The following is a 26,660-nucleotide window of genomic DNA, read 5'->3' as shown; positions in this document are numbered from 1 at the left end:
CATAGTCACAATGCTAGTTAATGCCAAAGCTGAGGGATCCATCATTGGAGAATTCTTGCTTTTCACTACTCTGTTAGTTCCCTAGGGCTACTGTAACAAAGTGTCATGAGCTGGGTGGCTCCAATAACAGACACCGATGGTCTCACAGTCTGGAAGCTGGAAGTCCAAGATCAAGGTGTCGGCAAAGCTGGTTCCTTCTGTTGGCTGTGAAGGAAAGGTCTGTTCCAGGCCTCTCTCCTTAGCTTGTAGACAGTCATTTTCTCCCTGTGTCTCCTCACATTTTCTTCCTTCTTTGTACGACTCTGTCCAAATTTCTTCTTTTTATAAGGATATCAGTCATATTGAACTAGAGCCCACTCTAATGGCCTTTACTCTATCAGTGCCTCCCGAGAGCTCCCTCAAACACCATTGCCAGACCCACCCCCAGAGTTTCCAATTCTGAAAGTCTGGGATGGGGCTTGAGGATTTGCATTCCTAACGCATTTCTAGCTGCTACTGCTGGTCCAGGAATGGCTTTGAAAGCCACTGCCATAGACAGTGGTAACTCTGGAGGTGGGGAGACCAGGGGAGAGGCACCTGCTCCAGGAAGCTGGGAGACAGGGTCCTGAGCTAAAGCAGTGTCGGAGGGCATGCAGAGGCGAGGTGGGGTCAGAGCAATGTCAAAAGGCAGAATCTGGTGGCCAGTTGAATATTATGAGAAGGGGGAAGGAGCCTGGGCTGCCCCCAGGTTCCTGGCTTTGGCGATTGGGTGGACTAGGTACACACACCTGGGCCAGTGGATCTGTGGGTGATGGGGAGGTAGGTCCTGTCAGGTGAAGCAGGTGAAATAGAAAGAGGTTTCAAATTGGAGATGCTTTTCAGAGAGATGGATAAAGCTATCTGATTTGGAGCTCAAGGAAGAGGTCTATACTAGGGAGTTGCTGGGTTTTCTAACCGTCTTATTGACCCATTTCTGTAACATTTACTTGATTAGCCAGGAAGCTGATTAGATATTTTCAACCTGTTTTATTGCTTTAGAATATGATAAATTGTCAGTACCTCTTTGAGTGTGTCTTAAGCACCAAGTGCTCACAAATAGTCACGAAAAATACAAAACAGAAAGTACTCCAAATTTTGCATCACCTTCTTAATCACCTTCTTGAAACAATATTTGCTAATCACCTTCTTAAAACAATGTTTACCAATGAATTTGAAATATTTACAATATGGTCTGGTTTATGCATCCATGCTTTCTCTTCAGGGATAAACCAGGTCATCTACTTTAAGTATCACAATATAAAATGTATAATTTGTATTTTATTGTTTTATTAATAATTTTCTTTAATCGACTTGAAATTACAAGCATCATCTTTCAGTTTTTTTACTGACATGTAAAATTTCATTTACCTCTACTATTATTAAAAATACACAAATGTTTTTGGTTATTAGAAAACAACTAAAATATGAAATATAAATAAGCAAAAAGCATTCAATTATCATGCCAAATTTGGCAAATATCAATTCCGATGTGACACCTATTACTCAAAATACCAAAACGTTCTGTTGTTATCAGATTATAATTTTGTAGACTTTTAAGAGAAAGCTTTGTGTGTTCTGTGTTCTCCCCATGAGAAAGGTCATTTCCCAGGCTCCACAGATGCCTGTCGTGATGTTTGAGCCAGGTCGTTTTTTGTTGTCACATGAAAGGCTCTGTTCAGCTGGTTCCCCTTTGTCCTGAGTGGTGACCACAGAGCTTTGCTGCTCAGCACTCCTTCCAGGAAGGCCTCGCTGGGGAAGCTGTGGAGACCATCAGCAGACAGCAGCGCCATCGGGGCCACCCCAGCTGTGCCCAAGGTCAAATACTCTGGTAGCTCCCAGCCTATGAAGAAGAATAATTGGGGACATGGGCCTGGTCACTTCTGCTCCACGCAGGACTCCAGGGAGAAATCTTTGTTCTGGAGCTCCTGCTATGGACTGAATGTTTGGGTTTAGATGAAGTCCTGAGGGTGAGGCCCCCACAGTAGAATTAACACCTTTATAAGAAGAGGAAGAGACTTGAGATTTTCTCTCTCTCTCTTTTTCCTGCAGACCCCAAGGAAAGGCCATGTGAGAGTACAACCAGAAAAAGGGCCCTCACCAAGAACCCCACCCTGCTGGCACTCTGATCTCAGACTTTCAGCCTCCAGATCTGTGAGAAAGTAAATTTCTGTTGTTGCAGCCCCCAGCTTGTGGCATTTCATTATAGCAGCCCAAGCTGACTAAGACAGCTCCCACTGGGTGGTCTGACAATTTGTCACATCTGTGTCACGGTCTGCAGCTCCCCTGCCCTACCCCGCTTCTTCCTCCCCTCCTTCCTCTCATAGTTGGTAGACCTACAATCTACAGATTTCCTCCCCGATCGTGCACAAGTGGTCCCACCCAACCCCACAAACCTAACCATACTCGTCACACCTCCCCTTAAACATTTCAGTAGCTCTAGGTGTTGATGGTGGTCAAAATCCTTAATGTAAACCACGCCAGCCTCCCCTCTCCCACTCCCCTATCTCTGTGCCTCTGCGCTCCTCACTCCGGCATCTCTCCAGGGTGGTATTTGCACCATGCAGCCTTTGTACACATTGCTCCCTCCTGGAGCCCGCTGCCTCCATCTCCCCGTCTTCATCTGGTCCATCCTTCCCTCTCCTTCCGAGCTCAGCTCCCCCTAACTTCCCTGATTAAGCAATTCCTCCTAGTATTCGTTCTTATGGAAACTTGTCTCTTGGAAACACTCCAGTGTTAATTACACAATCAATGTCACTACTGTCCATTTCCCCCACTAAACCGTCAGCTCCATAAGGGCCAGGACCACACCTTTTTGGTACTGCTGTTGCTCTTGTGCCCACGGTGCTATCTCTGATGTGGAGTGCAATGCCTGGCAAAAAAAGTCGACTCTCAAAGAGCCTTTGTGGAATAAATGAATAAGTAAAACTTTATGATAAACATGAAAAAGCTGAGGTTCCTCATGCCAAATTCCATGATTAAAGATGAGAAAATATTGTTGGTTTTTCTTTCTTTGCTTTTGGTAAGTCTTTTCCCTAGTTTCTTTTCCTGGAATCAGTTAATGCAACTAAAGAGTATGAGATCTGAACTCTGAGATCCAGCCCTACAAACAAAATGCAGTATTTGTAAACATTTAGCCCTGGACACTATGCCAAAAAGCTTGTGTTGGAGTGAAATACCGCCATGTGGCATGGAGCTGTGGAGATTTTCTTTGTGTGTTTAAATTGAATTGGGGGCTTTGGGGCATTCCTGGAAAGCCCCTCCCTCTGAAAAAAATAAAAATGTTTTCGAATCCTCTATAAACTTCCATGTCTGAACCAATTCTCAATTTCTACCCCTTCCTACTGCAGAGTTCAAAAGTGGAAGTTCCTCTTGCTTAACTTCTGGAACTCAATTTCACTGTAATCTGGGCTTTTCTTTCCAGTACAGAGGTGAAATAGGTCAGTCTTTCAGTTAAACTTCCAATCCACAGTTTATTAGTGCTGAATCCATAAATCCTCAAGGAAGCATTAGCAATTGAGAAAGAATGAACAGTTTTGATAGGGACACATTTTCTTCCTTCAATCTCAGCTAGAAATCAGAAATGCTTACCCATCAGCAAAGCTAGTAAGCCAGCTTCCAGCCCATGGTCAGCTTCCAGCCCATAGCCTGCACATCTTCTCAACATAGGAGAAATGTGTGATGTGAATGAAAGGATTAAACTAGCAATGTCTTTATGACTCTATGACCTAGCAATAAGCTCCATGAAGGCAAATACTTCTACCTGCATTATTCAGAGCCCAAAAAAGTTTCTATCTCTCACTCAATGAATATTTCTTGAATGATCAATGAGTAAATGAGGGTGGGAATTGAAGACTTAGTTTCAGACACTTTTCTAAACATTGTGTATGTATCCATTTATTTCATGCTGACAACCCCCTACAAGGTGACAACTATTGCTATGCCTGTTTTCAGATGTAGAAACCATAGAGAGATTAAACAACTTGTAGAAGGCCATCAAGCTTGACAGTCATTTTTCAGGTGGCCAGCCAATGGTCCCCACTCTGAGGATCAATGAAGCCAGTGCTTTCCCAGGCAGTGGCCTCCAGGTAGACCCATGCCCCCATATGCCCACACCACCAGGAGGACACTGGCCTCAGGTCCAAATTCCCTTGCCAATTGCCACCCGACCCTATATATCTTCCTAGACATCTGGGCTTGGAGTGTACTTGCCTGGCACCTACCATGATCACGCTCATTATAAGAGCATGTTTCTACTAATGTATGACCTACAGTATACTGAGTTAACCATTGTGAAGAGTATCTATTAAGCAGGGCAAGTAATTGGTAGGAGCAACAAGACATTTGAGACAGAAGAAGAAGTTGTGCTTTGCTAATGTATATTTTGTATATATTGCTGACTTCAGTAGCTGGTGACTATGAAACAGAATCTACTTTATTTTAATACATAAGGAATTACAGCCCACGCCCCTGGGCCTACATGCTCACCTGGGAATGCGCTCTGTGTGGATTCCACCCTGACTTCTTCCTGCAGCTGTGCTGCTGCCTCTGCTTCCCTGGACACTGCATCTCCCTGGGACCCCATAATATCTTGAGAGGAACACTGCTTTCCTAGTTCCACCAGCACAAATGACAGTAGCTATGACTTCTAACAGGAATGCACAGCAGGCTGAAGGTTAGCAGAAAGAGGATAGCCCCTCCTAGAAGTGGGGGTCACAGTCCCTCCTAGAAGTGAGAGTTCACAGATCCAGGGCTCCCACCAGACTTCAGCAGCCCTGCCCAGCTTCCCCTGCCCAGGGTGCCCACTGTCAGAAACCAAGTCTGCCTCCATCAGTGGGAATCTTATTAGCTCCGAACTTCTGAATCCAAACTTCACTTCCTCCTGGCCAGTAGTGAGGTCCTTTCTCAGGCCAACGCTCACCTCCTAAAGAAGAGCCACAGCTATTTCCTGCAGGGTGTGTCCCATTTCCCACCCTCTAGGGTCTAACTCAGAAAAGCTGAACCAAACAGTGACAATAATTCACAGAGCAATACCAAAGTCTGGCTTATTCAGTCCTAAATAACACCAAGTGTGGGAATCCGCCAGCCCAATTCCAGAAACTCTGTGCTGAGCCCAGTTTCATTGTCTTCCCTCCCACAGGAGGAAAAAAATGAAACAAAACAAAACAAAACAAAAACAAAACAAAACAACAAAACAGAAAAAAAAAAAGAAAAGAAAAGGCTGCTAGTTCTTCATGCCATGGTCCAGTTTTCCAATTCACCATCCAAAGCTCACACAAGAACTCTCTCATACCCACACCCTCTAAGAATAAGCAGTAATTTTTAAGCATAAAGCAATTTAAATCATGATTCAAGGGGGGTGGGGGGCCAGGAAATCCCTGCGTATGATTCTGCAAGAACACAATCTTGGTAATGCCTACAGTTCGTACTACTCCATGGGATGCTGATCAGCTCAGCACGAAGCATCTGCCCCTATGATATGCCTCGATACTCACGGGTTTATCAGGGCTGCACTAGGTCACTCCCGTTTGTTCTTCCAAATCCACCTTCCTTCCCTCTTCGCCTCGCTGTCTGCCATGCTGACCTGTTTAGATAACAATGAGCTCTCTTGCCCTCTGAATTTCAGTTATTTGTTTGGCCAATGACGAATACTGATGAAGATCAGGAGGACTGAGTTTGGAATCCTTAGTGCTCCCGCTCTCTCCCTGTGGGGTCACCAGGAGCTGGCTGTGTTCCTCCAACTGAAGGCTGCTGATCCAGTAAAGGTATCCTTCCCTAGATGATTTTCCCATGTCCCAGTCTCCACCCCCTCCCCTTGTCACTTTGGGTGCAGGGGTGGTAACAGGACTGGGCTATTAAACTATTCCTTGGAGTTTCCCCAAAACTTTGTAAACAGTCCCTTTATCATCTTCATCTGGGATGCCAACCATTTCCTGTTGGGACACTGATTGATGCAAGGGCTTTTCCAGGAATAGCTCACTATGACTGAGAGAACTGGATGGCATGGGTTTATAGGCAAGCAAAGAAAAGATCTTCCAGTAGCTTCATGAAACTGCTGAAAATCCCTGTGTATGACAGTGTTGGCACATCCAGTTTTCTTCTCTTCTATCTCCACCTGACATCCCTTCCTCATGCTATAGCTGGTTTGTTCCCAAATACAATAAAGAAAAGTATCTGAAAGGAAACAATGCAGGTCTTGGCACCTATAGGCAAAATACATTATTATACTTGTTTTCGTATGACCTGGAAAAGAAACAACATGAAAAGAAGAGGAATTTTATTATGAGCTGGACAGCCTCCATCCCTTCTAAACTAATATTAGGACTTATTGCTTTTGAGTCTATTTTATATAAAATATTGGCCATAGGCATGTTTTCTCTTTTATAACCACTCACCCTGCATATATTATCAGATGTTTAGCCATGCACTAAGATTCTGTTGTATTTTTAAATTTTAGTGTTTCTCAAATGATTTGAAAATCTTCATTTACAGTAATGCTTAAAGGGTCCACAGATATGATAATTAACCAAGAAATGGTAATTCTGTTTGTCTTATGAACTACTCCTGTGAGACCGGGGAGCTACCTGCTATCTTGGGGAAATATTCAAGAGAACTAGATGTAAACAGCGAGATACACACAAAGAAAAACTTGGGGGCAACATGGAAAAGGAAAGGCTTTGGGCAGCCTGTGTGCATGGCCTGCTGGAGACATAGATGAGTACGGCCATCTAGCATCACTGTGATCTGTTTTAATACAGGCTTACATTTTGAGTTTCCCATTTGTCTCTCAGAGGGACCCGGCACACTGATAGTGGCTAGAGCAGAGATAAGAAGAGAAGAAACCCTGTTAGCTCCCTGCTGGGAGTCTTCAGTTCTCCAGGGAAGGATTACACAAGTCAGCGTGAAGAGCGCCTGAGACATTGATTTCCCACCACCTGCAAACCACGTTTACCTCTCTGGGTTTTGTTCATGGAACAAAACCATAAGATGGAATTGAGTTCATGTCAGAATTGCCTTAAAAGTAACTATGATGGTCAATTCTCTGGGTCACCTTGACTGGCCATGGGGTGCCAAGATTAAATTTCCTTCTGAGTGTGCCTGTGAGGGTGTTTCCAGGTGAGATTGGCATTTGAACCAGTGAACTCAGTAAAGGAGATGCCCTCCCCAAGTGGTTGGGCATCATTCAATCCCTGGAGGGCCTGAGCAGAATCAAAGGCAGAGGAAGCAGCAGTTTGCCCCTTTTTGCATCATCACTGACTGCTTGGGTTGGGACATCTCATTTCATCTTCTCTGGCTCTAGGTACCTTCCATAGGAAGCATCATGATCATCTGTCATTCAGTCGCTGATAGATGCCAGGAACTGCACAAGGTACCTAATACACATTTTCTGGAGTCTCCCCAGCAACTTTGGAAGTCAGGTTTGATATTCACCACTTTACAGAAGTGGAGACCAAGGACCAGAGAGAAGGGGACCCCATCTACCTGCAAAGCCTCAACCTCCCTGCTCCACACTGTCAGCTTCCCAGATTCTCAGGCCTTTAGACTGGGACTGAATTACAGCCCCAGCTTTCCTGGTTCTCCAGCTTGCACATGCTAGGTCCTGGGACTACTCAGCCTCCAGAATCATGTGAGCCAATTCCTCATAATAAACCTCCTTTTATATCCATATAGAATGTGTACATCTCCTGCTGGTTCTGTTTCTCTGGAGGACCCTGACTAATACAGTGATGAACACAATTTTTCTCCTCATTGGTTTTCAGGTGATTGAGATCATCTTGCTCACTGATCAGATCATCTCAAATCTACCAGGAGCGCTTGGCCAACCTTCCATGGGTTTCTCACATTCTCTGAACTTCTGTTTCCTCAGAGGGAAAATAGAGACAATCTTCAGATCACCGAGTTGATGTGAGGAGTGAGTAAGATAATAAATATGTAGGTATCTGACACAAAGGCTGACACAGAAGGAGCGCACTAGGATTTCACAGTATAATAATAGAGTGTGAATTTCAGCTCCAAACTGTCTTACTCTTTCTATTCTACGAAATGCCTGCCATTCGCTCTCTAGGCATTTGCTGAGCATTTGGTCCCTGAATGGAGAACCCGACGAGGACATCAATTCTGCTTCTGTGACCAGCTGCTGCGGAGGGTTTCCACTCTGTTCCCTAGCAGCCATCAGGTCTAAAAAGGATTGCAGATAGTTCTTGGCAAGACTTGACTAACTGGAAGTGGTGGAGACCCCAACCTACAAAACATGTAAAGAGATGGAAAAAATAGAGGCCAATTCTCCTACAGAAAGAGGACTCCAGGGAAAATCACTAAGCAGCTTCCATAGGAATCGTAGTGATCATCTGCTATGGAGTCACTGCTTGGTGCCAGGAGTTGCAGCAGGGGCCTCATACACATTTCCTGGAATCTCCCCAGCAACGCTGGAAGTCTGGTTTTATAATCGGCACCTTACAGAACTGGAGACTGAGGACCAGAGAGGACAGGACCCTGTCCATCTACAAAGCTCCATCCTCCCTACTCTACCCATGCCCTCCCCTGAGAGCTGAATTGCTGTTAAGAAATAAAAAGAGGCCTGTTCTTTCTGTGTCGGAGGTATATTGCTAGGAACAATGGGTGGAAGTCACAGGACGACAGATCTCAGCTCCACATCAGGAGGAGCTCTGTAACTCCGGGGTGTTCCCAGACAGAAGGCTCTGCCTCCCAAGATGAAATTTCCCCTTGCTGGAGATACTTGAGCTTTGTTTGGAAGACAGAGTTTGGAAAGGAGACTTGAGACCGAAAGAACACCTGTACCAGATAGCTTTGAAGGTTCCCTCTACCCCTGCTAAAATTTGTTGCCTGGGAAATAATAATTTCCCAAATTCAGGGGAGAGAGAGTTACTTTTGCTTCTTCCTCTTGTTCCTCCAGTGACTGAACAAAATGCCCTAGGGAAGAGCTTCCCCCAAGTCCACCTCTAACACAGCCCATAAGTTGAAGGATGATTAGCTCCGGAGATTGAAATAAGCCCTGAAACTGATTCCAACTTCTTAGAATAGGTGTGATTTTAGCTTGGAAGTGTCCTAAGTCATCAGTCTCAAGAGCAGTACCACTTGGCAGGCTCTTTAATCCCTACAGTCATGCATTGGGGAGTATTAATTCAATATCTCCCCAAAGCTTAGCAAAATAAAATGAAACATAAACTGTAAAATAACACAACTTTCTTGCATACAAAGCTTTAAAAAGAAAGCCAGCAAAAGTGTTTTAAACAACTCACAGAGTCCACATTGTATTGTGGAATTCTTTTTAATGAAGCTGTTATTATGCTACAAGAATGCAATAAAACATCTGAAACCTGAAATTTCCTATTTTTATCACCTCCTGTAAAATTTTCAAAAGGGCCAAAATGATTTGTTTCAAAATGCGTATAGGAATAATTGGATTGAGAGTTTTCATGCCAACTTTCCATTTGGAATGAAATCTAGAGACTGTTACTTCATAAACCAATGAAAATATGAGCATAAAATGAAAAGGGCAAAATATTATAGAATATAAGTATAATCAAACATAACATACCCGGGAAGGAACTACTGATTTACCATCTCCCAGTGTGTGGCTCAGCACAGGGACCTCTTTTATATAACAAAGTGCTCACAAATAATTGGTTTTACCTGAATCCCCTAATTACTTCTGGAAAAAGAAATGCTATATGCATGAATTTCTGCACACAAACACATAATGTGAAGTGCTGATCCCACACTGGTTAATTTTGAAACAAAATATTATTCTGAATTGTTCATGAAGATGATATGCCTGCTCCCTTAATCTTCTGTTTGCAACACAAATCTCAGCTAATCCTTAGTACAAACTGGCAAAAATCTAATCCTTGGCTGCTAAGCAAATGCATTTTAGCAACAAATTGTGTATGAGAAGTTTATTTAAGATGTGATTTCTTGTAACTGTTCTTGCCAAATGACCAGATAGTAATCATACCCTCAAATGTGTAAGTATACAGGAAGATATTACTTATTTTATGATTTTAGATTTAATTTTCAACTCACATCATTCTTAAAGCCATTCTTAAAGATTGGTCACTTAGGGAATGGACAAAGTCTCTCCTCCTTTGCAAATCAAGTTTCTGTGTTCAGTGGAAACCTTTTCCAAAGCATTCATCTCTGTCAGCATACCCAGTGCATGCTCTGTCATGAACAGCTCCCAGCATTAAGTGGAGCAATTCCGTCTACCATCTGGCTTTGTGAGCAAAAAGCTTTTTTTATATAAAAATATGAAACTAAGCTACCCCCGTCTAGACTTACAATCTTTCCAAGGACATTGTCCATCTCCCCATTCATTCCAAATGGATGAAATTTTAGATGGAACAGTAATAAGAGGTGAAAGGTTTGGAATCTTATTTAATATGTTTACTTGAATTGTTTCTAAAGAACATAGGAGTTGGGATCACTTTTTTAAAAGTACCACTGTCCCTCAGAAGCTACTCAATATTTGCTTTTACTATGTGACAATTGAGCACATTTTCAAAAATACAGTAGGAAACACTGTGTAACAGAAGCAACATGGATCTTATTTAGCTGTTGCAGATGTTGGTGGTTAAAACTACCCGACTTTCACTGGTTGATCTGGAATTAGATCTCCTATCCTTTGGTAACAGTTCTAACCACATAAGTTTATACTAACACTCTGGATAAAATCACAGTTGGAAAAAAATAAACCTAAAAAGTCACTAAAACAAGAATGAGTCTGAGCTCTCTTTCATTGTTCTTTTAACTCAACCTATTTGCTGCATGTGCAAGGTTGAGTTTGTGTTTCAGTCATGGAGTTGGTTTTGTTCTCCATTTTTCTTCAGCACCCACCCAGGACAAAGTACGCTGTATGCCGGCAAGTGTGGTCAAGACCATATAACCTGAGTTCTTCCTGCTCTTGCTGCTGTGAAAATTTTAAACTGATTTTTTAACACTTAAACTGCATGAAAACACTTTCTTTTAAAAAACAGTATTGTTTTTGTTTTAAGAAAATTAAATGGAAATCCATTAGGGGAGCAAGGAATATTCTCATCTCAACCGGGTAAAAACCCACAGAAACTGAGGCCACCGAGATGCCAACTTATCAGTGCAGAAATAAGCTTAGAATCTGAAGGATAAGATGTAATTCTGCATAAAACTAAGCTTCAGTACAAGAATATCCTGTTTCAGACCTAGTTGCACTGATCATCAATCAGTGTTGCCTACATGATCATGGTAAACCCAAAGTATGAGCAATACAACACGTTTGAGTTGTCTGGCTTAATGTCCTTCGGCCAGAAAGCTGCGGGTTCTGACCTCCAGCTCCAGATCCTCCAGCTAGAAGAGCAGCCCTGGAGAATAAGCAAATGCACGCATGTTGGGGCCAGATTGCTAGGGTGGAAGCCGCACCCCTTGCTTACTTGTTAAGTGACTTTGAGCAAGTTACCTAACTTCTCTTCTGTCTCAGTTTATCAGCACAGTGAATGTTACAATAGCACCTACCTCATAATGTCATAGGGAGGATTTAATGAGTTAACATTTTACATATTAAAAAAAAAAAAAAAAAGAATGAAGGCCTTTCTTTCAGCCCCAGATCTGTACTACTGCCATTTGGGGAAGAAGAATTTTCCTAGGACTCATGAAATACAAATTTTAAAAAGCTGTGTCCAACAAGAGCTGGAGTTACAGTATCACACACCATTTCCACCTCCTGAAGTGCTCCGTGCTCTCTGTCACACTTCTCATTCTGCTCTTTAACATCCCAGTATTATGAAAATCCACCCAGTTCCTTACAAAACTACCTCTCACCCTCCTTCCAGCAGCTCAGAGTTAAACTTGCAGAGGTTTAACAGTGGAAAGGAGAAAGAGCTGACAATTCGTTTATTTTTATGATGCCTTCCTATCAATGTGAACATTTGATTTTAGCCCAAGGCCACATGAGTCAGGGCAAAATTTTTAGCAGCAGAAAGGTCTTCCCAGGCCTCTGCATATCACAGCAGCTCACCTCATCCCTCTTAAGACCGTTTCCAGTCTCAGAAATACAAGCTAAACCCTAATATTGTACTATATTTTTTTTAGTACAGCATGTTGATTTCACTCAAAAGGGCAATCACCGTGACTAATATCAATCTTACAGTATCAACTTCATTTACATCACACCTCAGGTATAATGAGAAATGATTTTATTTTTCATTAACTATATTTTTATGTATAATAATAGAAAATACCTAAAAGGCTTGACTGTACACATTATGAAATTCTATTGATACACTATAGTTGTAATTTCTTATGTATGTAATAATCAAATAATAAAGAATAAGTATCTCAAGATTGGGGACTATCTGTTGTGGTTAAAATAAAAGTTTAACCTCCTTCAAATAATAAGTAGATGTCTTCTCTCATTTTATATCTGTTCAGCCCCTATGAGAGCGCGTGTAGCTGTAGCTCTTGGAACCAACAAGCAAATGGGTGATTTGCCTTACTTACCACTAGGGGGGGTGAAAGCTAAGTTAGTGACCCGGGCTGCAGGAGTCCAAGGAAGAGAGAGAAGTGGGGGAAAGGCAATGAACATAACGCCAAATAAAGGGAAAAAGAAGAGGAGCGGCAATGCGGGAAGGAAGGGGGAGGAGATTTGCTGGACTCAGGGATGTTTAGGGGTCCGTCATCAATTTCTTCAGATCCCTCATTAGATGGCCCCATAAGTAATGGCAGCTTGGTGGGAGCCTGCCAAGGGCAAGGGACCTTCTGCTTCCTCTGTCATCTCCTCACCTCTGCAGTGAGTGCAGTGAAAAGTCCCAGGTTCCTGTTGAGAACTGGGATTTTTGAGGACTTATCGCCTTTGACCTGTAACCTACTGATAAAGTGCTTGGTTTCATTTTGTTTTCTTGCTTAAAATCTCCTATAATCTCAGTGAGATAAAATGGCGGGGGGGAGGGGATACTGGGCTAGGAAGAGGGAGTGTTGTGTGGGTGCAAATCAAGCCGCAGCGCCCAGCCTCAGTAGAAATCAGCATTGCACCTCCATGCTTAAAAACAATATATCTTCTTCCAAAAGTCATGTCACAGTCCACGTTTCCCAGAAATAGTGGCAAAAGTCCCTGTTGAAATGGATTGTTCATTGTCTGGTTTGAGACACTGACAAGAATAAACCTGCTGAGGCCAGCTGGGCTTTTGTCACTTTGGTTAAAAGCAACATTATTCCAGTGGGAAGGGATCCCGGGAGGAGGAAGGAAGGAGACCAGGAGGAAGGCCACTGGGGCAGAAGGACTGGCCTCCTGGAAGAGTCAGCCACCCAAATTACCAAGTTCAAGGGGCCATCTGATCCACACCAGGGGCCCAGAACTTTTCTCCATGGGAGTCTTTTGTGCCAAGCGAGTCTGAACTCTCCCCTGAAGACAATGGGAAACCTCTGACAATTTTTAATCAGGCAACTGATATTATTATAAAACAGCCATGTCTTCATGCTATCTTACCATTCTAATTCCTAGCATAGCATCTATCCATTCATTCGCTTGTTTTAAATGCCTGTCTTCCGGCTAAAATGTAAGTTCTGTGAGAGCAGGAACTTTGACTGTATTGTTCATCACAGATGCCTAGAAAATAACCTAGGTGGGACACTGCAAACGTTCCATAAATATTTTTCGATGAATAAAGATTCATATTTTAGAAAGCTTCCTCTGGTAGCTTTGTAAGAGCTGTGGATAATGGACTGAGGTAGGGGGGCGGGGTGGAAAGAGAGAGCAGAATTAGACACCAAGGCAAAAAGTAGGGAACATGCACGAATTTAACGCATGTCCACTTCCAAACAGGTTGTGATATTGGTGCTGGGAACTGAAGTACAGAAGCCTGGATCCACAACGTACGAGCCATGGGGACTTCCATACAAGGCATGCACAGGTATCGTACAGATATAGGACTTGGGGGTCGAATCGGGAAGTTGGGGAGGTGATGCAAACAGGTGGGAAGTCCAAAGAGGACTGGTACAAACAGAAGGATAAACCAGTGGGTGGGAATCATGGAGATCCGAGGACAGGGCACAGCATCTGTAGTAGGAAGTAGATGCAACACTCCCCGCAGCCCCATCCCCCCAAAGAAAGGCAGACCCAAGAAGAAAAAGCCTGAGAATAGAAACCTTGGAAGAATAAATGTATAAAAGGGGGCAGACAGATTAAAAGGAGTGAAAAAGGGGCGGTTGTGGCTGCTGTGATGCCCAGGCAGACGCTGTCATCCTCTCCACAGCTGAGAGTGTTGGTGGGTTGGGGGGTGGTTGTCAGGGCTCCCCACTGGGTCCCTTCCTGGAAACGGCTCCCAGCTGAAGACAGCCACCCTGCCCAAGTTCATAGCACCATCCCAGGGGCAGCTGCATCCAATGACTGGTGCACAAAGGTGGGATGCAGAGGCCTGGCCCCTTGCCTCATGGTGATACAGCTCTGGGAGGCCCTCCCAGGTCAGACTCCATGCAAGATTGACCGATTCCTCTGCTGCAACTGCAACAAAGCTCAACATCTCCTTCTGCCCAGTGTTACCGCGTTTACTCCTTTATAGGTATAAGCACTAAGATCACTCCCCAAAAAACTTCTCATGGAAATTTTTACCTGCAAGTCTATTTCCCAGAACTCAACTCAATACAGTTGGTGCCAAGAGTGATCCAAGAAGATGGACTCTGAAGTGGAACTGCAGAGCTGGCTCATCCTCCTGCTGGCTGGCAGTGAAGCCCCGGCCCTGGCTTGCCGGAGAAGTGCAAGTGTCAGAACTTTCACTGGTGATGACCTGGGGTGGGAAAGAGGTGGGAGAGAATACCCTGGTAGATGGCAATCTCCCAGGCTTTTGGGAGTTAGAGAAATTACCAGTCCTGAGAACAATGGACTCTAATGGCTCTGGCTGAGTCACTGGAGGCATTAGAGAAAGACAAAGTGAGGCTCAGGGCTGTGAATCATCATTGAAAGGAAAGTGTGAAAGGGAGAAAGCCTCACTGGAGGCATCGGAAGAGACTCATCTCCTGTAGCAGGAGGACTGAAAAATCTAAGGATAAGGCCCAGGAATTAATTATAAGAATAGCAGCACTTCAAAAAAATTTGAATTCTTAGCTCTGGTTAGTCTGGTTATGGCTATGACAATGTCAGGGGCCTATTAGGGATGAGAGAGACAACAGAATTAATGCTCTCAAAACCTCAACTCTTGAGGTTGGGCACAGTGGCTCACTCCTGTAATCCCAGCACTTTGGAAGGCCCAGGCAGGCAGATCACCTGAGGTCAGGAGTTCGAGACCAGCCTGGCCAACATGTGAAACCTGGCCTCTACTAAAAATACAAAAAATTAGCTAAGCGTGGCAGTGTGTGGCTGTAGTTCCAGCTACTCAGGAGGCTGAGGCTGAGGAGAATCGCTTGAACCTGGGAGGTGGAGGTTGCAGTGAGCCAAGATCACACCACTGCACTCCTGCCTGGGTGACAGAGTGAGACTCTATCTCAAAACAAAACAAAACCTCAACACTCCATTCAGAGCCCTCCGGGCCTACAGAGGTGGCCCTGACCTCCCTGTGAGAGGCTGTGCTCTGCCCTTGCTTGAACATGGTATAGGAATCTCTGCATTGCAAGACAACACAGTGCTCCTCAGGACCCACCCCCACCTCCTGCCTTGACCAGACCCATCACTAGAGTCAAGTGAGACAGCATGTGGAGGGGAAATGCAGAGCCTGCTGAGCAAAGGAAGGAACCATGTGCCTAAAGGCGGCAGGCCAACGTGCAATGGCCAAAGCCAGAGACTCTTCATGGGACTGAATGAGGGGGATGAATCAAAGCAGGGGAAGCATGAAGTTGGAAAATGATGAGTTTATTTATATGGGCACAGTCTACTGTAATAGATGATTTGCCACCCTGGCAAGGACTCTGGGAGATGTTTTCATCACACTGCTAGGATGACTCCTGGAACTTTGGAGAAAATTACAGCCCACATTAAGTAAAGATGAAATGCCACAAGTGTGTGATAGATGATGGAAGAAGAAATAAAACAGATCTTAATCCTTGAGTCAGTTTATCTGACCCAGAATCCACTAATTCAAAGGGAGGTCAGGTTCTCAGGAGCACCCATGGCAAGGGAACACAGTTATGGTTCCAATGGTTCTTTGCCAAATGTGCCTGTGGTCACTTGTTTAAACAACTATACAGTGGAAAAGCAGAATATGCAAACATTTTGAGAAATGCTGGACACAGGGCCTGAGCTGACATTCACACCCAGAGAACTCGGGATTCCTTAGGGCCCTCTATTGGAGTAGGGTGCTTGTGGGCCAGGAAATAAATGGAGTTTCAGCCCTGATCTGGGTTCCAATGGTCCATTTGACTGAAATGCAAGTCAAAACTACAATGAGATATAATTCCACCCTGGTTAAAATGGTTTTTATCCAAAAAATTGGCAATAACAAATGCTGGAGAGGATGTAGAGAAAAGGGGACCCTCTCATACACTTGGTGGGAAAGTAAATTAATACAACCACATTTAAAATACATTTAAAATGTACAAATACATTTAAAAATAACTACAATGGTATAATTGGGTTGTTTGTAACACAAAGGATAAATGCTTGAGGATATGGATACCCTACTTTTCATGATGTGATTATTTCATATTGCATGTCTGTATCAAACTATCTCATGTACCCCATAAATATATATACCTACTATGTACCCATAAAAATTTTTTTAAAAGAAGTGTGTAGAAGCTTTTTGAGATTTGCTTTAATATAATCTAGTTAGAGAAGCAAAGAGGGAGAGTTGTGGTGAATATAAGTGAAAATGAATTGGCCATGATAATTATGAAGTTGAGTAACGGGTACAAGGAATTTCACTTATATTTTCTCTACCTTGTATATATTGGAAATTTTTCATAATAAAAAGTTAAAAAGCAGAAAGGAAGTGGATATTGATAAATACTGTTTAGATGGCAAATAGAAAACCAGGAAGCCAAGGCTTACCTTTCCCTCATCCCACCATCTTCAGCACCAGGAGTATAGCAATAAACGAAACAGGTAGAAAATTTTGGCCTTATGAAGATTATGTTCAAGTGAAGAGAGACAGACAATAAACAAAATAATTAGAACTGGGTAGGTATTTTGTGTACCTGTGTGTAAATTTGCTTCTTCTTCTTTCCTCCCTTCAGGGTACAAGATGTAACCTTTGGAGCATATAACTGGTTCAGTGATTGATAAAGTGCAGAAAATATTATATGGAAGTACTAGGGTCACAGATTCCATATACAAGCTCTTCCTGCACCATGCTGTTAGGTGTCCCCCAATCTGACTATAAAGCAGGAATATAGTTTCCTCCTCTTCAAATCTTGCATGACTTAATGCAGGGAAAGTATCACACAAAGAGAACCGAAACCCAACTATACATTCCACTGGATTGGTTTTTACTGGAGGCTCTGCAACACGCCAGATGGTTAAGCAGCTCCATACCTACAGCCTCTGTCATTCGAGGTGGCTGGGAGGACCAGAGTCTCCCAAGCTATTAATCAAAAGCTCCATTATGTGTCATTGGCTCTGATTGGGTCATGTCTAGCTATTGTCACCAGATGAATACAGTGCACTGACTGATTTAGGACTAGATCTCATGCTCCCTCACTGAACTGAGGGCAGATTCTTGCTCACGGTCATGAACTAATCATGTATGAATGGCAGGACTTGTTTTGACAGTAGAGTTGACAGCAGTTGATGATGAATTTTAAAGAAATAATAGAGGAATGATTTTCAATAGGGGTGTCACCACTCAGAAGGGAGTTTTGAAAATTTATGGGATTATTTCTGATTGTCAAATCATTAAAGGGGAATGACTGGAATTGAGTAGTGAGGAGCCAGAGATGCCAGATATCATGCCAATGTGCAAAGGTGAAATAACCCTTTGTCCTACACAACTTTTGTAAATCTCGTCCAAAATTAGGACTGAATGTATGGATGGTCTACAACCTGGTAGAGTTGCAAAGAAATGTGTTTTCTATGACACTCCATACCACTCTGACCCACATCATAACAAAAAATTCTTTTTATCTATATTTACAAATAATAAGGTTGCCCTTATTTATAAGATTACCATACTTCCTCATTTTTGTCACTTTAATGGCCTGAGTCTGTAACCTATTGTCTTAGTCTGCTCAAATTGCTATTAAAAAAAATCACAGACTGGGTGACTTAAACAAAAGAAATGTATTTCCCACAGTTGTTGAGGCTGGAAGTCCAAGATCAAGGTGCCAGTAAATTAGGTTTTATTCTAAGACCTCTTTTCTTGGCTTGTAGGAGCAGCCGTTTCACTGAGTGCTCATATGATCTCTTGCTTGTGTGCACCTGGGTTGGGAGAGGAGGGAGAGCTCTCTAGTCTCTCTAAGCCTCATGGATCTTGACCATTTTTAACCCCTGTTCCCTCCTTATGGTCCCCAACTCCAAATACGGTCACATTGGCTGTCAGGGCTTCAGCACAGGAATTTAGGTCCAAACAAAACATTCAGTCTGTAACATTTGTCTTGACGTGCTATTCATGTGTATTAGTCCGTTTCCATGCAGCTGATAAAGACACACCCGAGACTGGGTAATTTATAAAGAAAAAGAGGTTTAATAGACTCACAGTTCTACGTGGCTGGGGAGGCCTCACAATCATGGTGGAAAGTGAAAGGCACGTCTTACATGGTGGTGGCAAGAGAGAATGAGAGCCAAGTGAAAGGGGAAACCGCTTATAAAATCATCAGATCTCATGAGACTTATTCACTACCAAGACAACAGTGTGGGGAAAACTGCCCCCATGATTCAATTATCTCCCAATTATGAGAGCTACAATTCCAGATGAGATTTGGGTGGAGACACAGACAAACCATATCACCATGTATTCAGTTAAGGTTATTTCCCTCATCTTCTTATTTTATACCCTTGTGGAGAAAAAATCCACAGACTAAGAAACGCCTTCAAGATTTTCCTCAGGGTCATTGGAGAAAGAAGGGCTTCAGGCATTCAAGTAGGGCAGATGGAACATCCTGAGGCTGAGCAGAGAAGGAAAGAGTGGAGTTATCATCAAAACTTCACACATTTGAGGGGGGAAACACTGTTTAAAAGGGCATTGAGGATATACATTTTTTAATATCATAGCATTTGTCAAGGAAGACATGTAGGTTCTATAAACAAATCACAGTGTTCATCCAGGGAACTAAAGCATCAAGGATCTTATTCTTAGTTAAGATTTTTAACTTAGAATAAATGCCATGAAGATTGTTTGGCTGTAGAAGGGATGATTTTTTAAAATAAATATTGGAATAACTCTGGTTATCCTAAAACTAGTTTTAACCTAACCTTGGCTTTTAATCCAGGGTCTACTTGGCTCTCTGCTCTTTCTCTGCCCTGAACTTTCTGTTGAGAATGATTTCTGATCTTACGCCTCTCATATCCAAATAATTCTCTAAGAGTAGATGCAAGCATCTCACTTCTTCATTGTGGATTATATTAGTTATCTGTTGCTGAGTAACAAATTATCTTAAAGGATTTGGTGGTTTAAAACAACAAAATTTACTATCTCAGTTTCTGTAGGTCAGGAATTCAGGTACAGCTCAGCTGGTTTCTCTGGCTCAGGGGCTCTGATAAAAGGTGCAATCAACTGGGGATGGATCCATGTCTAAGCTCACACATGTGGCTGTTGGCAGGATTCTGTTTCTTGCAGACTTTGGGACTGAAGGCCTCAGATCCTCCCTGGCAATGTGCCCGAGGTTGCACAGAGTTTGTTTCAACATAGGCCTCTCTATCTGGCAGCTTCCCTTATCAGAATAGCAAGGAGAGCCAGAGAGAAAACAGGGTGTGTGGGGGGAGTAGAGAGAGAGGATGGAAGTCACAGCTTTTATAATGCAATCAAGGAAGGGACATGCCATCACTTTTGCTGTACCCTCTTCATCAGAAGCAAGTTAGGTCTAACCCACTCTCAAAGGCAGGGAATGGCACAAAGGGATAACTGGGAGCCATTTCAGAAACTACTAACCTCATGTTCCAAGCATTTACGTATTAAAACGTATTATCCTATTACATGTTGCATACCTTTTATTTCTCCATTTTATTATGGCTAAGGCATTTTATTCATATTTTTACCAGGTGTGTAAGATATAATGTCAACAAATTTCATTTTGGAGGGAAAGAAAGGAGCAAAAATATTTGTTTTAAAAAGGGGGATGTTGAATCTGGCAGAGTTGTAGAATACTATCCTAGATGATGGATAGTTCTAATAGGATAATGTATTTGAGAGAGAGAGAGATTGACAAAATGAGGTAGAGACAGGAAAGAGAAGTCCTTGAGAAGCCAGAAGAGGTGGGAACCTGAACACATTAGAGGGGTTAGATTTTGATAAAAACAGAAAAATACGTATTAAAGAAACTCAGAGGGAGTAGGATAATTATTTTCAAATATCTGAAAGGCCATCTACATTAGACCGATTCTCCAGAGGGACAGAACTAATATAATAGATGAATATATAAAGGAGAGTTTGTTAAGGAGTATTGACTCACACAAACACAAGTTGAAGTCCCACAATAGGCAAGCTGAGGAGCAAGAAAGCCAGTCCAACTCCCAAAATCCCAAAAGTAGGGAAGCCGACGGTGCAGCCTTCAGTCTGTGGCTGAAGGCCCGAGAGCCCCTGGCAAACCACTGGTGTAAGTCCAAGAGTCCAAAAGCTGAAGAACTTGGGTTCTGATGTTCGAGGACAGGAAGCATCGAACATGAGAGAAAGATGGAGGCCAGAAGACTCAGCAAGTCATCTTCTCCCACCTTCTGCCTGCTTTATTCTAGCTGCACTGGCAGTTGATTAGATGGTGCCTACCAACATTGAGGGTGGGTCTCCCTCTCCCAGTCCACTGACTCCAATGTTAATCTCCTTTGGCGACACCCTCACAGACACACCTAGAACAATATTTTGCATCCTTCAATCCAATCAAGTTGACACTTAATATTAACCATCACATCATCCTGTGAAAGAAAATTATATTTGCTCAATGTTGCCCCAGTTGATAGAATTTAGACTAATGAATGGAAATTAGAAGGCATAATGGTACAAGAATAGGAAAGAAAACATGTTTACCCCTCAGAATCTTCTACTGTCCAAGATAAACAAGAATTCCCAGGAAATGGGTTTAAAAAACCTAATTGCATGCCCGAGTTGTGTTCTCACTTATGCTACCTCATCACATGATGGGAGCATTAGAACAAGAACTGACTGGAATAAATCCCATCACAATTCCTACCACCATGAGGTTCTCTGACTTCATGAACTGATTTTTGCTAAGAGACTGATTGTGAGGACATCTGAGCTAGATCATTTGTCCATTCTCAACAAGCTTTTTTGTTTGTTTGCTTGCTTTAGAAGAGAAGCTTTGCCTTTTTCATGTATGTACTGCTTGTATGGAAGCAGAAGTCAGCATCTTCTCCAAGCTTCAGATTCTACAGGGCAAAGACACTAAAAGCAACAACACAAGGCAAATGGTCAAAGTCCGAGAGAAGGCTAAATGCAATGATTCCTTCATTCAAAAGCATTTCTTGAATACCTTCTGTGTGCCAGTTCTGTGTTAATTATTGGAAACTGTGTGAGGGGTTGATTATAATTCTAAGCAAGATATCCTCATCTGAGTGAAATTACGTTCCTAACTAGGTCAGGGACACAGAAAGACCTAAGTAGAACTTCTTAACTACCTCCAAAAATTCCAGATGTGATAGACTGGGATCTTGATAAAGGTTCATTACTAAGTTAAGATGGTTTAAATTTGGACACAGATATGAAAAGTTTTTCTCTGAACACCCAGTGATGAGGCACAGAGCAACTGTCTGGAGTTGGCTGCCTAGAAGTAGAGCCTGAGAGAGGATGTTTGTAAGTGATTCATTGAGAGTCATCAGGGATGTGCAGGCAACAGGGTAGGGCAGGAGGCAAAGCTCAGTAAGAATGTGCATGATTTCAACTGGAGATGAGCTTCAGTCTGAACCTGCAGGGAGGCTCACTGCACCTTGTTGCAAGGGGGCAATGTTTACATCCTTGTGTCATTCAGTCATGGACTTTCACCCACAAGGATTTAGCAACTGGTTGTCACTTATGACCTTCATCAAATCAGGTTCAGTGATGAGGTGGGAACGTACCTATTGAGTGTGTCTAAGAGAGAGTGGGAAGGGAGAAATTGTAGACAGTGAGTGTAGACAAGTCTTTTGATCAGTGTATTAGTCCATTCTCACACTGCTATAATGATACTACCGGACACTGGGTAATTTATAAAGGAAAGAGTTTTAATTGGCTCATAGCTCCACAAAGCTGAGGAGGCCTCAAGAAACTTACAGTCATGGCAGAAGGCCAATGGGAAGCAAGAACCTTCTTTACATGGCAGCAGGAGACAGAAGTGCAACCGGGGAAATGTCAGATGCTTATAAAACCATCAGATCTCGTGAGAACTCACTCACTATCAGAATAACAGCATGCGGGAACTGCCCCCATGATCCAATCACCTCCCCCTCTCAACATGCTGAGGGGATTACAATTCAAGATGAGATTTGGGTGGGGACACAGAGCCAAACCATATGAATCAGTGATGCTGCAAATGGAAGCAGGGAAATGGGGAAGTGTAATTGGATACATACATGGGGTCAAGTGAGTCTTTGTAAAAAGGAAATAATTAGCTCATGTTCCTGTGTTGATATAGATCAACTAATAGAGTGGAAAAGTGGTGAGGCTGAGGGAGACAGAGAATTGAGGCAGTAGAAGGAGTAGAAGCCAGTTCACACACAGGGAGCTTGGCCTTAGTGAGGACAGCTTACTTCTAGCAACATGAGAAAAGATGGATCACAAGGGAATATGTGCACATAAATGGGGGAAGGTACTGTGGTGGGAGCATGTGAGGAGTCTCTTCTGATTGCTTTTAGCTTTTCTCTGAAATTAAAAGCACATCCCTGGTGGAGAGTGAGATGCTGGGACATTGAGAAAGTGAGAAAAGACGTGGGAGGTTTGAGGAGAGAAAAGAGAGTGAGAAAATAAATGGAATAGGGAAAGTGACAGTTATTAAATAAATAATTTTACTAATTCTAGCTTTTCAGTTGATGATTTGAGATTCCCTAGGCATACAGTCTGAAAACAATGATGTCTCTTATTCTTTCTGTATCACAGCATGTCCTTTATTTCTATTTCTTTCTGATTTTAGAAGCCATAATTCCACAACATGAAGTTCTGTTGATTTTTGTCTCCTAAGTATCTCTCATTCCAGCTGCTTCTGTGTCTTGGCTACCATCATGTCAGCACAAGCCTGGACACTACAACAGCCTCTTAATTAGTCTCCTGACGTCGTGTTTGGCCCTCTTCCATCCATTCTCTACACGAGGGCCCAGGTGATTTTTTTAATACACACATCTGATTCCTTCACCTTCATCCTAAACCCTACAATGGTTTCCCGCTGCCTGTTGGCTGAAGATGCTACACAATCTTCTCTCTGCCCATGTCACCATCCTTACATCGTACCTCCCCAATCACTCCCTGAGCAGCAGCCTATGTGGTTTTCCTTCTCAGCTTTCCCAGGAAACCACACAGTCTTCCTTCTGAAACGCCCATAGCCCTTCTCAATTTAGCTCAGAGTACCTCTTCGTCAATCATTTCTTGTAAAATATGAAAGATAAGTAAAGAGAAATGGAAAGCACATTGAGAAAATTAATATTAATATATGCATAATTGGTGTTTGTGGTGAAGAGAGAACCTGAAGAACAAGCAATATTTGAAGAGATACCAAGAATTTTCCATAAAGTCATCAGTACATATACTCAAGTACTCAATAAATGCCAAACAGGACAAAAAAAAAATCTATCCACATCACAGACAAAAAACCCAGACACATCACAGTGAAGCTGAAAAATGCCAATGACAATAAGAAAGCAATTTTTTAAGAGGAACCAGAATAAAAATACATTATTTTTTCTAGCTTTGTTGAAGCATAATTGACAAATAAAAATTGTTTATATTACAGAGTACGAAGTGATGCTTTCATGTATATGTGCATGGTGAAACGATCACCACAAATCAGCTGGTTAATATATCCATCACCTCACATAGTTATTGTGTGTGGGCGGGGGGATGGGTAACATTTAAGATCTACTCTCTTAGCAAATTTCAAGTATATCGTACAGTATTAACAATAATCTCCAAGCAGTATGTTAGCTCTTTAGAGCTTATTCATCCTGCCTTACTTGAAAGTGTATACCCTTTGACCAACATCTCCCCATTTCCCCCATTCTCCAGCCTCTGGCAAGCACCATTCTACCTCTGCCTCTGTGAGTTAGAATCTTTTAGATTCCACATATGAGTGAGACTATGCAATTTCTTTGTCCTTCTGGGCCTGGCTTATTTCATTTAACATAATGTCCTCCAGGTTCATCCATGTTGTCACAAATGGCAGAATTTCCTTCTTTTTTTTTTTTTTAAGACTGAATAGCATTCTGTTTAGTATGTACTATACTATATATTATATATGTTACATTTCCTTTATTTCTTCATCTGTCAATTGACAGTTGGGACTATTCTATACCTTGACTGTTGAGAATAATGCTGCAATGAACATGGGAATGAAATACCTCTTCAACATACTGATTTTATTTTCTTTGGGTACATATCAAGTATTGAGGATTGCTGAATCACATGGCAGTTCTCCTTTTAACTTTTTAGGAACCGCCATACTGTTCTCCAGGTAACCACACACTCTTAATTGGTAAAGGCTGTGCTAACTTACATTCCCACCAATGGTGTACAAAGGGTCTCTTTTCTTTGCATCCTCACTAACACTTGTTGTTTTTTGTCTTTTTTATAGTAGCCATTCTAATAGATATGAGGTGATATCTCACCGTGGTTATGATGTGCATTTCCCTAGTGATTCTGATGTTGAGCACTACTTCATATATCTGTTGGCCATTTGTATGTCTTCTTTTGAGAAATGTCTATTCAGGTCCTTTGCCCATTTTTGTAATTGGGTTATTTGTTTTTTTGCTATCGAATTGTTTGTGTTCCATGTATGTTTTGGATACTAATCCCTTATCAGACAGATGCTTTGCAAACATTTTCTCCCCTCCTGTAAGTGATCTCTGCACTCTGTTGACTGTCTCCTTTGCTATGCAGAAACGTTTTAGTTTGATGCAGCCCCATTTGTCTATTTTTGCTTCTGTTGTCTGTGCTTTTTGGGTCATATCAAAAAAATCATTGCCTAGCCCAATATAAAAAGTTTTTTCTTTATATTTTTTTCTAGTTGCTTTAAGATTTCAGGTCATACATTTAAGTCTTTAATTCATTTGAGATTATTTTTTATACAGTGTAAGATAAGGGTCCAGTTTTATTCTTCTGCATGTGGATATCCAGTTTTCCCAATACCATTTGTTGACAAGACTGTCTTTTCGCCATTATGTCTTCTTGGTGCTTTGGTTGAAAATTAGCTCACCGTAAATGGATAGATTTATTTCTGGGCTCTCCATTCGGATCCACTGGCCTATGTGTCTGTTTTTATGTCAGTATCTTGCTGTATTGATTACTATAGCTTTGAAATATACTTTGAATCAGGTAGTGTGGCCTCCAGCTTTGTTCATTTGCTCAAGATTGCTTTGGCTATTTTGTGGTTCCACACAAATTTTAGGATGCTTTTCCTATTTCTGTGAAAAATTTCATTGGAATTTTGGTAGGGATTGCACTGAATTTGTACATCACTTTGGATTAGTATGGATATTTTAACAATATTAATTCTTCCAATCTGTGAATATAGGATATCTTAAATTTATTTGTGTCTTCAATTTTTTTCAGCAATGTTTTATAGTTTTCAATGTAAAGCTCTTTCACCTTTTGGTTAAATTTATCCTAAATTGGCCTTTTTTTTTTTTTGGTTGCTATTGTAAATGAGATTGTCTTCTTTATTACTTTTTAAAATAGTATATTAGTCCATTTTCACACTACTGTAAAGAATTACCTGAGACTGGGTAGCTTATGAAGAAAAGAGGTTTTATGGACTCACAGTTCTATAGGTTGTACAGAAGCATGGCTGGGAGGCCTCAGGAAAACTTAACAATTATGGTGGAAGGCTAAGAGGAAGCACACACATCTTACACGGCCAGGGAAGGAGAGAGAGAACGAGAGGGTGAAAGTGCCACACATTTTCAAACAACCAGATCTCATGAGAACTCACTCACTATCACGAAAACAGCGTGGGGGAAACCACATCCATGATCCCATCCCCTCCCACCAGGTCCCTCCCCTGACATGTGGGGATTACAATTCGACATGAGATTTGGGTGGGGACACAGAGCCAAACCATATCAGATAATTCGTTGTTAGAATACGGAAACACTGCTGATTTCTGTATGTTGACTTGTATCCTGCAACTTTACTGAATTCATTTATTAGTTCTAACAGTTTTTTGGTGGAGTCTTTATGGTTTTTTATATATAAAATCATGATGTGAAAAAAGACAGATTGTCTTTAATAGAGTGGCTATTGGATTTCCAGATGATTTCTTAATGGCAATAATGGAGACCAGGATTGAAGAAAGATACTGTCAACCTAAAACTGTAGACCAGTAAAAATGTCTTTTGAGAACAAGGGTAAAATAAAAACATTTTCAGACAAAGATTAAGGATTTTC

The 26,660-nt window shown here is 42.0% G+C and overlaps 1 long non-coding RNA gene across 1 annotated transcript; it reads right to left on the bottom strand.

Moving 5' to 3' along the window:
* Positions 1–986: 986 nt before the first annotated feature.
* ARGLU1-DT (ARGLU1 divergent transcript) lies at positions 987–14,835 on the bottom strand. The gene is made up of 4 exons (NR_051977.1): positions 14,612–14,835; positions 5,511–6,258; positions 4,504–4,626; positions 987–1,858 (listed from the first exon to the last, which is right to left on the bottom strand). It is a non-coding gene; the product is annotated as an ARGLU1 divergent transcript (long non-coding RNA).
* Positions 14,836–26,660: the final 11,825 nt, after the last annotated feature.

This window comes from Homo sapiens, chromosome 13, assembly GCF_000001405.40.
Source record: "Homo sapiens chromosome 13, GRCh38.p14 Primary Assembly".
NCBI lineage: Eukaryota > Metazoa > Chordata > Mammalia > Primates > Hominidae > Homo > Homo sapiens.
The sequence above is the reverse complement of the archived record's forward strand: the minus strand, read 5'-3'. Positions and strand labels throughout refer to the sequence as shown.